At 42.8% G+C, this 14,462-nt stretch overlaps 1 protein-coding gene across 5 annotated transcripts in view, besides 2 other annotated features; it reads right to left on the bottom strand.

Moving 5' to 3' along the window:
* Nucleotides 1-14,462, bottom strand: part of AR (androgen receptor) — a 186,599-nt gene extending 172,137 nt beyond the window's left edge. For 4 of the 5 annotated variants that reach the window (NM_001011645.3, NM_001348061.1, NM_001348064.1 and 1 more), the window contains exon 1: nucleotides 11,721-13,860. Coding sequence is in view for 4 of the 5 variants with exons in the window: in NM_001348061.1 (NP_001334990.1) it covers nucleotides 11,721-13,336 (1,616 nt within the window). In the remaining variant the exon portion in view is untranslated. Of the gene's footprint in view, nucleotides 1-11,720 lie in introns of all 5 variants that reach the window. The other variant, NM_000044.6, reaches the window with a different exon arrangement.
* Nucleotides 13,064-13,166: a tandem repeat, named in NCBI's record as "androgen receptor repeat instability region".
* Nucleotides 13,100-13,165: a repeat instability region, noted in NCBI's record as "repeat instability region; expansion of the (CAG)n trinucleotide repeat is associated with spinal and bulbar muscular atrophy (SBMA)". NCBI's record gives the evidence for it as "EXISTENCE:polymerase chain reaction evidence [ECO:0000082][PMID:2062380, PMID:7702080, PMID:1303283]".

Below are 14,462 nucleotides of genomic sequence, written 5' to 3'. Positions count from 1 at the left end.
CTGAGAAGCTCCTGGTATTGCACAGTAGTTAGAACCTTGTGGTTAGAAGCCAGACTTCCTGGGAGTGCACACAAGTTCTGCTACTTCCTAGCTGTGTGACCCTTGGACATGTTCCTTAACCTCTCTAGGCCTGCTTCCTAAAGTTGACATGAGAATTAAATGAATCAATTCATGCAAGGTGCCAAAGTTTACACAGCAAACATTCAGGAAGTGCTATCATTATTATTATATATGATTATGTATAATTCTTTGTTCTCAGTATGGACCAAAGAATTTTCACTTTTCCAATGTAACTTTTTTCAAGAAAACAACATACGACTAACCCTTAAAACAGGCTCTGACTAGGCTCAGGCACTAGCTTGCTGTATGAGCTTAGCCAGGTCCCTTTCCATCTTGGTGCCTCAGGCACCTCACCCATAAAATGAGCTAGCTGGACAAGATGGTCTCCCAGGTTCCATGAACTCTAATTTCCTAGGATTTAAGGCCATTTCTGTCCAGGTCCTCTGTAGATTCTAGCTTTGTTAAAAGCTCAATTGCCTTTAAAAGTTCACTTACTGTGTTTTTACAGGAAAAATATTTTGGTATGTGGTTCAGTAAAAATAATAATATTTCAGTGTGATTGGGGAGAGCAACCAATTTGTATAGTTTCCCAGTTTTATTCACTATTTAGTTTAATTACCTGGTTTTAGGTTTGGGCAAAGAAACAAACAAAAAACAATAACAAAAAACTCACTCTTGCCCAAATGAGTCCTCAGAATCACACTAAAAAAAGAAAATCTACTGATTCAGAATTCAAGAGAACTGGGTTTGTGCCCTAGTTCTGTCGCCAGCTCACTGTTTCACCTTGGATAAGTCCCTACCCTTCTATAGACCTCTATAAAGTAAAAGGAAAGAGGGGAGAGGGTACCTACAGCCTAGGCGATCTCTAAGTTCCTTTTTAATTTTCTTGAAGAACAGCAAAGCTGAAGGCACTGCATGAGAACTAACTGAGAAGAAGCCATCAGGATGTTCATCAGATAATTCAAACTTTATAAGTCAAAAATCAAACTCTTGATTTCTACCCTGCCCATGCACCTGCTCTACATACAGTCTTCACCATTTCAGTAAATGGCAATCTCATTTTTCCAGTTACTCAGACCAAAAACTTGGCAATCATCCTCATCTCTATTTTTTTCACAGTGAATATCCAATCTGTCAGTAAATGCTGTTGGCTATACCATCAAAACTCATCCAGAATTCAGCCACTTCCTACCTTCTCCACCAATACCACCTTAGTCTGAGACACGGTCACCTCTCACCCAGATCACTGCAGTGTACTTGTTTCCCTGCTTCCCCCCTTGCTCCCACAGTCTCTTCCCCCCACATACAGTAAGTAAACAAACAAACGTATAATATATCAGAGTGACAGATGTTATGAAGAGGAGGGAGCCTGTTAAAATGTAAGTCAGGTCATGTTACCCTGCTCAAAACCGTCCAATACAACCTGCTTAGGAGTAAAATTCAAAGTCCTAAGGAAGACCTACCATGCAACCTCATTAACTCTGATCTCATTGTCTACCATCCTTCACTTATTTAAACCAGCCATATGGGCCTCTTTGTCCTCCATCACAGCAAGTGTGCTCCTGCCTCAGGCCCTTTGCGCCTGTGGTTCCCTGGGCCTGGAATATTCTAACTCCAGATGTCCAAATAGCAGCTCATTTCCTAATTTCCTTCAGGTCACTACTCAAAATTTACTTTTCCAGTAAGGTTTTCCCTGGCCAGCAAATATAAAATATTCCCTCTCACCATCAATCTCTATACCCTACACTCTGTGAAGTTATTCTGCATGGCACTTTTCATGCTCAGATGTACACTACATGTCTCCTCTCATTAAACTGTCTGCTCCACGAAGAGATTTTTGTCTGTTCTGTTCACCACTACATCATTGGTGCCTAGTACAGAATTTGGCATATAGTAGATGCTTAATAAGCATTTATTGAATATATGCAGTCTGTAAAGTAGAATGGCAAGGTTATTGGCACCCAGAACTCTCACACAACCAAATCCATCAGTCTGGTGGATGGGTAACAAACCTAGAAGCCTTAAGAAATTCATAAATTTCTAGTATTGATACCACTTGTGGTTCTTTTGCCTCTCTGACTCTCATGTTTCCCATCTATAAGGTAAAAAGAGCTGTGAGATAAAAGCAGGGAACACATGATCTGGAGAAGAAAGAATGGGACTGAAATTCCAGATCAGTCACTTTGAAGCTGTTTGATTGTAAACATGTAACTTAACCACTCTTTGCACAATTTTTATAATGGGAATAATAGTACTGTAATAGTATGAATACTATTATAATACTCCAAACTCTAGTTACTTGTAAAAGGTAGAAACAAGAATGAAATGCAATAATGGAATATGAAACTTCTCTATAAACTGGACAGTGCTACTTGAATATATCCAGTGTCACTGTTTTCTGCTCCATATGCAAAGAAAGGTATTAAAAAGTCAAAATATTACTAAAAAATGCTTGCCACTTCGAGAAACAACATCCCAAATGAAACAGTAAGTACCATAGTAGCTTATTTATTGTCTGGTGCTAGGCAGTTCTGGTTCAAGTTATCCTGCGATAGGGCCTTGGCTGTGTGTTGAAACCATCAATGGAGGCTCACCATTCCCAGGGAAATCCTGCCACGGGGCACTTGCAGTCCCCCTAGCGGCCAAATAGCGGGACTACAGTTCCACAAGCAAGGAACCTACTCAACCTGCAGAGAACAGAGCCCATGTTAGGTGGTAGGCCATTTCAGAATGTTACGTTGTCTAATACAGCAAAGCTCTTATAAGATCATCATGTGCCCCCTTACTCCCCGAATTGTTTGGTTTGTGCAATTCATCAGGATCAATGGAAACTTAGAAGGCAGGAAAACAACTCTTATGTCAAATTCAGAGCCATTAATCACCTTCAATTTTAATTTATTACTCATATTATTGCTGACTTGTTCAGATAAAGACATCATAAACATGTACCCACCAAGTGCAATGATATAGCCAAAGAAACTGAAGAAGAAATTGGCAACTAACTTGACTGGGGTGCACTATTGAATAAGCAGAAATAGATTTCAACCCATTCCTCCAGTTCATTCTTTCCAGTGGTACTAACTTCTGTTATTTAAAATATACATCAAGATCTTTAATCTATTGCTTGAGTTTAGACATGCTCCTACTTACTTCCACGAAGGATTAAAAGCAGCCACAGGTAACATTGCTGACCACTTCAGCCTCTATTGATTCATTCCTCTTTTTTTTTAAAATATCTACATTTTAAGAAATCCATACCGTACAATCCAGGATCTCATACAGGCATCATGGCATGATGATACTGCATTTCTGTTTGGTTTTTGGTTGTTTGGTTTTTGTTTGTTTTTGTTTTTAGTGGCTATAAGCTCCTCGTAAGCAGTTACCTCAAGAAGATTCTGTCTGAATTGTGTCCCCTTTCACCTTATCTCTTCCTAGCACATGCTGGGCACATAGCAGGTGCTTAATGAAAAGTGGTTGATTGATAGATTCTTTTTTTTTTTTTTTTTTGACGGAGCCTGGAGTGCAGTGGCATGATCTCGGCTCACTGCAACCTCTGCCTCTTAGGCTTAAGTGATCCTCCTGCCTCAGCCTCACAAGTAGCTGGGATTGTGGGTGCTCACCAAAACGCCTGGATAATTTTTGTATTTTTAGTAGACATGGGGTTTCACCATGTTGGCCAGGCTGGTCTTGGACTCCCGATCTCAGGTGATCCACCCACCTCGGCCTCCCAAAGTGCTGGGATTACAGGATTGAGCCACCATGCCCGGCCAGATTCTTTTTTAAAAAATCCCTTTATTAGGCTAATCTCTACAGACAGCTATTAGATTATAACTAAACCTTTTGCTGGGTGCCCTGCAGTTAATTCACAATTATCAGGACATTACAGTTGTAGCTGATTAGCTATGACCCTTAGCCTAGAGTGTTAATGAAGACAAAGTTCAGTCTGTGTATAGATGAATTTTATCTTTGCTTCATGGCTATGGAGTACATCCCTAAAAAGAAGCTTAAATTATATGAGAGTAAATGAATCCTTTCCCCATCTAGAAATGCACATCAGAAGGAGTACTGGAATTTACTTTGTCCAAAGGACAACATATAAAAACATAAAATTATGATTTTAGCTGCTTACGATAACCTAAACATAAGCCTAATATAGCTAGTGATTTCATTTGTCACCTCTACATGTTAGTTTTCTATATAGAAATTATTATTATTACTCACTGCCTTGCTAATAGTTCCCAAATCCAAATTCTAAAAAAGGGATTATAAACTACCCAAACCTTACTAGGCTTCTTTCCTGCTGTTCTCTAAAGAGATGAACATTTAAAAACACTCTCCTATTCATCCCGAAAGGGGATGGGATTACCAGTTCGAATTTATAGCTGAGTAAAACTGAGAAGAATGTCCCCATGCAGCCTTCATACAGGATGAAATGAAGTAAGCTTTAACTTTCAGTGCAGCAGCAGAAGCCCTCTTCCCCATAAGTCCCAGAAGCATTCAAAACTCAGGTATTTTCAGCAAGGTTGCAGGATACAAGATCAATATACAAAACAATTATATTTCCATACATTGGCAGCGAATAATCTGAAAATAAAATCAATAAGACAGTTCAATTTATAGTATCAAAAAATAAATCACTTAGGAATAAATTTTAAAAAGAACTGCAAAACTTATAATCTGAAAACAATAAAAATTGTTGACAAAAGGAAGACCTAAATAAATGGGAAGACATCGCATATTTATGGATGAAAATAACTTAACGTTGTTGAGATGACAATGCTCCCCAAATTGGTTTACAGATTTAATATAGTTCCTGTGAGAATCCTAGCTGACTTCTTCGTAGAAATTGACAAGCTTATCCCAATTCATTTGAAAATTCAAGGGACCCACAAGAGCCAAAGCAATCTTGAAAAAGAAGACCAAAGTTGAAGAGTTCAAAATTCCTAATTTCAAAACTCACTAAAAACCTACAATAATCAAGATAACGTGGTACCGGCATAGGAATAAACATATAGATCAACTGAATATAGTTGAGAGTCCACAATTAAACCCTCACATTTACGGTCAACTGATTTTACACAAAGGGTGCCAAGACAGTTAAGTGAGGAAAGATTCAACAACAATATTGTGAGAACTGAATATCTACATGCAAAAGAATGAAGTTGGACCCCTACCTCAGTCATATATAAACATTACATCAAAACTGATGAAAGACCTAAATGTAAATAGCGAAAACTATAAAACTCTTAGAAGGAAACATATGTAAATCTTTGTGATCTTGGATTAGGCAAAGACTTCTTAGATACGACGCCAAAATCATAAGCCAAAACAGAAAATAAATAGATGAATTGGACTTCATCAAACTTAAAAACATTTTTGTGCTTCAATCTAGATACCATTAAGAACGTAAAAAGAAAAAAAAGGAAAGTAAAAAAGACAACTCACAGAATGTGAAAAAATATCTACAAATCACAATCTATTAAAGGACATGTATCCAGAATATATTTTTTAAAAATCTTAAAACTCAATAATAAAAAACCCAACTAAAAACTGAGCAAAGGATCCAAATAGATATTTCTCAAAAAAGAAGATATACAAATGGCCAATAAGAACATGGATACTGAACATTATTTGTTATTAGGGAAATGGAAATAAAAGCCACAATGAGGTACCACTTCACACCCACTAATATAGCTATAATGAAAAAGACAGAGAATAACAAGTGTTGGCAAGGATGTGGAAGAAATGGACCCCCATAGGTTGCTGATGGGATTGTAAAACAGTGCAGACACTTTAGAAAACAGTTTGACAGTTCTTCAAAAGGATAAACACAGAGGTATCATATGACTCAGAGATTTCAATCCTATGTATGTATCCAAAAGAACTGAAAATGTCCAAAATATGTGGACTGAATATGTCCACAATAAACTTGCACGTGAATGTTCACAGCAGTATTATTCATAATAGCCAAAAGGTGGAAACAACCGTAATGCTCATCACCTGATAAATGGATAGATAGAATGTGGTATATCCATATAGTGGAACATTATTAGGCTATAAAAAATAGTGAAGTACTGATATGTGCTTCAACATGGATGACCTTGAAAACATATTTTATGTGAAAGAAGCTAGTCACAAAAGACCACATATTACATGATTTCATTCATACAAAATGTTAGAATAAGCACATCCATAGATAGAAGTAGATTATTGGTTGCTAAGGACTGAGGGAATATAGGGGGATGAACACAAAGGTGCATAGGGTTTCCTTTGGGGGTGATTAAAATGTTCTAAAATTGATTGCAATAATGGTTGCACAACTCTGAATATTCTAAAAAGCATGAAACTGTACACTTTAGATGAGTGAATTGTATGGATTGTAAATTACGTCTCAATAAAGCTGTTATTTAAAGAATAAAACTTAGGTACTAAGTAACCTAAATTGACAACATTCTCAAATGACCCAGCACTTTAATGCTATAAATTTATCGAGATGAGCTGCCCTCAATCCTGGTGTGGCCTGCAGGTTGGCAGCAAGAATTGCCATGAGAGAGAGGGAGTAGCATCACCCATGAGTGTGCAAGCAATAATTCACGGACAATCATCTCTATGTAGCAGCTACTGAGAGAAGTCCTTAAGAGCAACAATCTAAAGTATTATCTGTCAGGTGGGAAATTTCAAGAAGAAAAAGCTTGGGAGTATTGCTCTAGAGAGGTTCCCCTACGTGGTAAACAAATATCATAGAAAATCTAACTTTCTACTTTGTTACCTAGCAAAAGGGTAATCACTAAGCACCCCTCCTGGCCTACTCACACTTACACGAATGCAGTGAATAAACTGGAAAACACCGTCTCTTTTTTTGGAAGAATGCTATGTAAATATGAGATTTCATAATTCTCTTCCGTACGACAAAGGGCAACCAATGCTGGTAACTGTACAGAACTTTATAAGCAATTTTGTTTAAAAGTCAACTTTGTGTTTAAGATAAGGTTAACTTTCTCTGAATTTAACATCCCAGAACTTGATGGAATGCTGATAGGGGAAGTCGGAGATAGAATAATTTCTTTAATATCTTTCTTTGTTTTCAAATGATTAATTTTTATGAAGCTTAAGCAGATTAGCCCAGCCGGACACTTGCAGCACGCACCCTCATATGCATATTGGGTACTGCTTGTGATCCAGCTACTGAGGTCTGAACCGAACAGACCTGGGAAGTGTCTCAGAGCTGTCTCTCAGGCTCTGAGAGAAAGTAGCCAACATTACAGTAGACAGAGAGAGACAGAGATCAAGACAGAGACAGAGACAGCATAAGACAAAATACTTTATGAAATTGCCAAGTCCTCAAGCAATCTAGTTAACTCTCTCAGCAACTGTTGAACCAGGCTTTAACCTCAAGGTAAAAAAAAAAAAAAAAAAAAAAACCCAGCTATTCATTTTGCAATCCCCTCATGTCATCTAGTCTTAAGGGAGAGATACTGGGGTTAATCTAATCTACTACTCTACAGATTTTTTTTAAAAAAGAAATTCTTTAGGAGCATGCCACAGGTGTAATAAGAAAAATACCCTGAGAAGTGGAAAGAAGAGTCTGTATTTCAATGTCAAAAACATGAAAGGAGTGGAATAAAAGAAAATCGGGGACAGGCAGCACTTGAGGAAGCTGCAGACAAAGAGAAAATGGTGGAGGTGGGGGGTAGGGAGAGATTTCCTTTTCCTTCTCTGACCAAGCTCACAAAACTTGATTTTTTTGTTTGGTTTTTTTTTTTTTTATTTTTCAGAGTTGTGATTTCAGGTTTGGCTATAAAATAAGCCCTTGCTTTGCCACACCCAGTCCGCATTCTGCTCCCTGCTTATGCAAGGTTCCGAATGAAACTGGTGATCTTGATATCACCATTAAAAATAATCATAATAAAATTGTCCACATTTCTAACTCCAGTTCACATAATCCCACCAAGTAGCTTGTACGTGTACAAGCCGCAGTGCATATACGCATAAGGAGACCAAAGAATTTTTGTTTTAAATGCATATATGTACACTAGATGAAAAATTACTATGGGAATGAAAACACTTAACAAAGAAAATTAAACGTACCAGCAAATCCAGTATATTATTTCAAAGTTTACAGCTCAAAGAATGGAAGCTTGATGAGATAAAATTAGTACAGGCAAGAAAGCACCCCAAAATGACCCTGCAATTGGAAGCCTGCAAACTTCTTTGAAAATATCTCTCACCAGTGTTAATCTTTGGCTGACTTGAGCTGTGAACAAGCAAGAGGGCTACTTCCTGTGTATACTTCCGAATGGGGTGCCACCCAGTGTGGCTATTTGGTCCTCAGGTGTTGATTGTTGGGATCCAGACAGAACTCACCACCTATTTGCTGACCACAAAGAAAAGATGCTTCTTGCCAAAATATTGGTTCCTGAAGCCTATGGGCAGAAATAATCTGTCTTGGTTTCAAAGGAAAATTCTGCTTTACAAGACAAACTGTTGCTTGTAAGATAGTCATAAAAATGCTTGATAACTGAGAGGAGAGAGGAGAAGGAAAGAGGAATTAATAAAATGCCTTATTTTGAAAAATCTAATAGAGAAAGGGAGCAAGACTTGTCAATATCAAAGCACTACTAAAATACTACCTACTATGGAGACCAGAACAAATTACCAAGAGAAAAATTAAAATGTTCTTTTGGCATCTGGATAATTTCTCTAAACCCCAAACTCTAATTCTGGCATGCACTCTCTTAGAACCCAACTCCCAAGAATAAATTTTTGTCATATTATTGTGCTGCTTGCTGGAATATAAGAAGCCCTACTTTTGCCAAGGGAGCCAGTGGTCAATTAACAAAGTTGTAGTCCTGTTTGATCTCAGAGAGAAGACAGACAGCTCCATAAAATATCATCAGGGTTGCACACAAGCCCCATCACTTTTTATTTTTCCTTCTGTTCAAACCACATGCTAAATTAAGTAAAAGAGACCACCTTTGCATCTTCCCTCCTCTCAGCAGAAACACTGTAAATGTATAAGAACACAGAGTGAGTGCAGATGTTACTAAGGTTTAAAAAAACCCCTCCACAAAATTATGTACATAAACACACACATGAATGGTAAAGGGAGGGACCCAACAGGTCATTGGAAGCCTGCCCAATTTTGAGATTTTTAGCTCAAACATGGCACATAATGCATGCAACACAGAGAGGGAAGACACTCTTGCTTTGGCTTAAGAAATCTCTTGCCTTTCACCAAATTGTATCCCTACAAAATGAGGGAAAAAAAGAGAAAGTAAGAAAATATCAACTTTTGGATTGGAATTGATTGTATTCTGATTAAATTAATTTTCAATAAAAAGAAAGAAAATACTAACTTTTGTATTGGAATTGATTGCATTCTGATTAAATTGATTAATTTTCAATAAACCGGCTTAAGGATTTTCTATATCCTAGAAATGGAAAGTCTTCGTCAACTCACAAGACAGGAACACCAGTTGTCCCTTTAACTAGACTCCTCATATTCAGTGCAGCAATCACAAACCAGAAAAAAAAAATAAACTTGTACTTTCTGCAGGAACTGCTAAATTCTCATTAGTTTATGTCATTAATTTAAGCGGACTGTCAAGGAGGCACCAAGATATGATAACCTTCCTCATAAAGAAGCTTTTTTCATTAAGACCTGAAATAAAATCACCAAGCTCGTTGTCTACTTGATGGGAGTAACTTTTGCTCTCTATAGTTATTCCCTAAAAATTTTGGTTTTGTCTTTGAAGGCACACATTTTTTAGCAAATATGTGGAACCATCAGTTTTTTCCCTGTTAAGTAAGTAAGTTGTGGGGGAGGCATGCAGAAGATGGAAGGTTCCAGTGTCTGGGTTTAGTATCATGGCAGGTCAAAATGCACCTTAGACATTTTCCCCCAAGAAAAGTTTACAGTAGAAGAGGGGCTCCACCGTCTAGTGACAGCCCTAGAAAAAAAATTAACCCTACCAAGTAAATTTGTTCTTATAAAATGAAGAATACTTTTTTTGTCCCATAGCATAAACCCATTACAAAAATGAAGAGTCTAAATTAACTGGAAAAGACTTTGACAATATCAAATGAACCCTCTGAAAATCTTGTAAGTCAAACATTAAAAACCTAATGGAATGTAAAGCCTGGTAAGAAGCTGTTTCTTCAACAGCCCACGAAATAATATGAAATCCTACCCTCCTCTTTCTTTCTTTACTAACACTGTGCTATCTACCTTGTAAGAAGGAAAGCATCAGTGAAAGAAGGCAAATTGCTGGATTTAAGTCCCCAAACAAAGATGTTAAGGCTAACAAAGAAATTTCGGAGAAGTCACAGGTAAAAGAAAACAGCCATAGAAACAAAGAATAAGACAAAAGTCCACAGGGACATCAGCACCTGGCCTACCTGAGGAGTTAATTCCCCAATTCAGTCTGTCCTCCCTCAGCAGATAAACTAATATCTTAATTTGCTGGGGGAGAAAATCTTCAGCATGGTCTCCAAGAAGCTCAACAACTGCGGTGAGGAATAATTTTTAATAAGCACGATGCAATTGCCTGCCACTTTTCTCATATGCTAATTAAAACTTTGGGGTAAGATTACGGCTCATAGGTCATTAAGAGTTCTTACTCAATTTGTTAGAGCTAACTGCACATATTCTAAAATGCAAACATGTCCTAAAAATAAAGGAATATAATAAAAAACCTCACTCCACCCTCCCCAGTGGAGATTTTGGAGCACACTGAAATAGCAGGAAATGCTTTACAAAAAAATGTTTTCCAACAGTTTTGTAAGTCAGAGTCAAGCCTAATTAAATTGTACATTAAAAGAATATTCTCCTCTTTATAGATCTGATGCAAACCTGAAGTAGGGGGCTGTGGATCTGTTATAATCCACAGAGAAAATAAACACTTTACAAGAGAAAACCGACCCAAGCAACTACTTTCAACATAGTCAACCAACGTTGAGAAACTGTGAGTGCAAATCCTGTGAAGTCTTTACCAAGAAAGTTGCCCCTCTGCCTACTCTAAACATGACGGTTTGGATTATCTCTACTGACCTCCAGCCCTGGAGCAAGTCCCCAGTTGCTTCAGGAGAAAGAAGTTCACCCTTTCACACAGCAGACCTCAGCACCCAGAGACCACTTTCTTTCCCTAACCGAGAATTTCACTTTACCTCTCTGGAGGATACCCGCTGAGAAGCTATTGGGCCGGTCTTTTTGACTCTAATCTGCGCAGGCTGAAAGTGAAATCCTAACAGACCTGAAGAGGAGAAATTGCCCAAATTCCTGTTGAGGTTCTCAGACTTTGAGGACAGGAGGAAAGGAAGAGTGGAGGGCTTGGGAGCTTTATCTCTGAAGGTGGCCCGTGCAATAGGATTTCTGTTTGGGACCTCGAGTACCAGGAGGTAGTGAGAATTTGGGGCGGTTGGGGGAGTTGAAGAATCTGGGAGGGCAGGAATCAGCACCCAGGGCACGCAGCAGAAATTAGGAGAGCTCAGGTTAAACCTCTGGCAGGCCGGGAGTCCACGGGAGAGCTCTAGGTTTACCCTGCTGAGCTCTCCCAGGGGCAATCTGAGTGTTCGCGCAGGTAGGAGCCGCTAGATACCCCAGAACACAGAGTGACTCTGCCCTGGGCCGAAAGGCGACATTTCTGGAAGGAAAAACTTACCGCATGTCCCCGTAAGGTCCGGAGTAGCTATCCATCCAGGGGCCCATTTCGCTTTTGACACAAGTGGGACTGGGATAGGGCACTCTGCTCACCATGCCGCCAGGGTACCACACATCAGGTGCGGTGAAGTCGCTTTCCTGGCCCGCCAGCCCCTGAGGGGGCCGAGTGTAGCCGTAGGGGGCTACAGCTCCCGCCTCGCCGCCGCCGCCGCCGCCGCCGCCGCCGCCGCCGCCGCCGCCGCCGCCGCCACCACCCCCACCACCACCACACGGTCCATACAACTGGCCTTCTTCGGCTGTGAAGAGAGTGTGCCAGGATGAGGAAGCGGCGGCTGAGGGTGACCCAGAACCGGGTCCCGCTGCACCCGCGCCATGCAGGCTCGCCAGGTCCCCATAGCGGCACTGCGCCGCCGCAGCCGCCCAGGCGCTGCCGTAGTCCAGCGGGTTCTCCAGCTTGATGCGAGCGTGGGGATGGGGAGGCGGCGGAGGGGGCGGCGGTCCGGCCAGAGCCAGTGGAAAGTTGTAGTAGTCGCGACTCTGGTACGCAGCTGCCTCGTCCAGTGCTCCGGACTTGTAGAGAGACAGGGTAGACGGCAGTTCAAGTGTCCCGGAGCTCCCTGCTGCAGCGCTGCCAGAGCAGCCTAGGCTCTCGCCTTCTAGCCCTTTGGTGTAACCTCCCTTGAAAGGGGAATACTCAGCAGTATCTTCAGTGCTCTTGCCTGCGCTGTCGTCTAGCAGAGAACCTTTGCATTCGGCCAATGGGGCACAAGGAGTGGGACGCACAGCGGGTGGAACTCCCAAAAGTGGGGCGTACATGCAATCCCCCCGAAGCTGTTCCCCTGGACTCAGATGCTCCAACGCCTCCACACCCAGGCCCATGGACACCGACACTGCCTTACACAACTCCTTGGCGTTGTCAGAAATGGTCGAAGTGCCCCCTAAGTAATTGTCCTTGGAGGAAGTGGGAGCCCCCGAGGCCTCCCTCGCTCTCCCGCTGCTGCTGCCTTCGGATACTGCTTCCTGCTGCTGTTGCTGAAGGAGTTGCATGGTGCTGGCCTCGCTCAGGATGTCTTTAAGGTCAGCGGAGCAGCTGCTTAAGCCGGGGAAAGTGGGGCCCAGCAGGGACAACGTGGATGGGGCAGCTGAGTCATCCTCGTCCGGAGGTGCTGGCAGCTGCTGCGGCAGCCCCTTGCTGGCGGCCACGGCGGCTCCAGGCTCTGGGACGCAACCTCTCTCGGGGTGGCACTCCAGGGCCGACTGCGGCTGTGAAGGTTGCTGTTCCTCATCCAGGACCAGGTAGCCTGTGGGGCCTCTACGATGGGCTTGGGGAGAACCATCCTCACCCTGCTGCTGCTGCTGCTGCCTGGGGCTAGTCTCTTGCTGCTGCTGCTGCTGCTGCTGCTGCTGCTGCTGCTGCTGCTGCTGCTGCTGCTGCTGCTGCTGCTGCAGCAGCAGCAAACTGGCGCCGGGAGGTGCTGCGCTCGCGGCCTCTGGGTGCCTGGGGCCCGGGTTCTGGATCACTTCGCGCACGCTCTGGAACAGATTCTGGAAAGCTCCTCGGTAGGTCTTGGACGGCGGCCGAGGGTAGACCCTTCCCAGCCCTAACTGCACTTCCATCCTTGAGCTTGGCTGAATCTTCCACCTACTTCCCTTACCCCGCCTCCCCTTCTCTTGCTCAGAAGAGTTCAACAGGCTGTGATGATGCGGTAGTCGCTGCAGCTAGCTGCCCACCTGCGGGAAGCTCCAGAGAAGGAAACTTGCGGGAGCAACCACGCAAAAAGCGCTCTGACAGCCTCAAAGTCTCGTGCAGAAGAAGACACACGGTGGACAAGATCTGCCCTGCTAGGCTCACAGTCTGTCTCTTAATACTTGAAGGGTAGATTCAAAAGATGCCCAGATCTTAAAAGAAAAAAACAAAATCCTCCACCTTCCAAATTCAGTGTCCACTGAAGTAGGTGCAAATAAGAACTGAGTTATTATCTTTTTCTTTTATTTCGGCTTTTTTGTTTTTGTTTGTTTTGTTTTTTGGCTACTGAAGACCTGACTGCCTTTTCATCTTTTGATCTCTGGCTCCGCACTCGGGGTGGGGAAGGCAGGAGGAGGTGGAGAGAGAGTGGGGGAAAACAGAGGGTTCTCTCCGCGTGCAGCCTAACCAGGCGGGTCGTGGCTGCAGTGCTGAAGCCGCTCCCCAGTCGCCTGGCTCCTAAGAGCCTTCTTTGCAATGTGCAGCTAGCTCGCCCGCTCGCAGCCAAAGGGAGTTACCTCTCTGCAAACTCGGGCTGGCAGCGCTGGGCCGACGGGGGCGGGGGGGCGGGTGGGGAGAAGGGTGGTGAGGGGGGTTGGCTGAGAGTAGCCGACTGAGGCAGCTGCGGGAGAGAAGACGGGGGAGGGGGGGAAGGCAGGGTGGGGGGAGGCGGGGTGGAGAGGAGGAGGACAAAGGCAGCCGTCAGTCCTACCAGGCACTTTCCTTGCTTCCTCCGAGTCTTTAGCAGCTTTTAAAAACTTCACCGAAGAGGAAAGGGCAGCTCCGGGCGGCGGCTTCGAAGCCGCCGCGCTGCAAGAGGCGTTGGCTGTCGCTGGAGCCGGGCTGGGGCTGGCGTGGTGCGTCCCTTCGGCTCCTGTACAGCACTGGAGCGGCTAGCTCGGCCCTTTTTCCCTCTGTCGCCTCCTCTGCCTCTGGGCTTGCTCCGGACCGTCCCGCTCTCCCAGCAAGCTGGCTCCCCGGGATCTCGGAGGGGGCGCT

This window comes from Homo sapiens, chromosome X (genome assembly GCF_000001405.40).
Source record: "Homo sapiens chromosome X, GRCh38.p14 Primary Assembly".
Taxonomy (NCBI): domain Eukaryota; kingdom Metazoa; phylum Chordata; class Mammalia; order Primates; family Hominidae; genus Homo; species Homo sapiens.
This window is presented reverse-complemented; position numbering and strand designations above follow the sequence as displayed.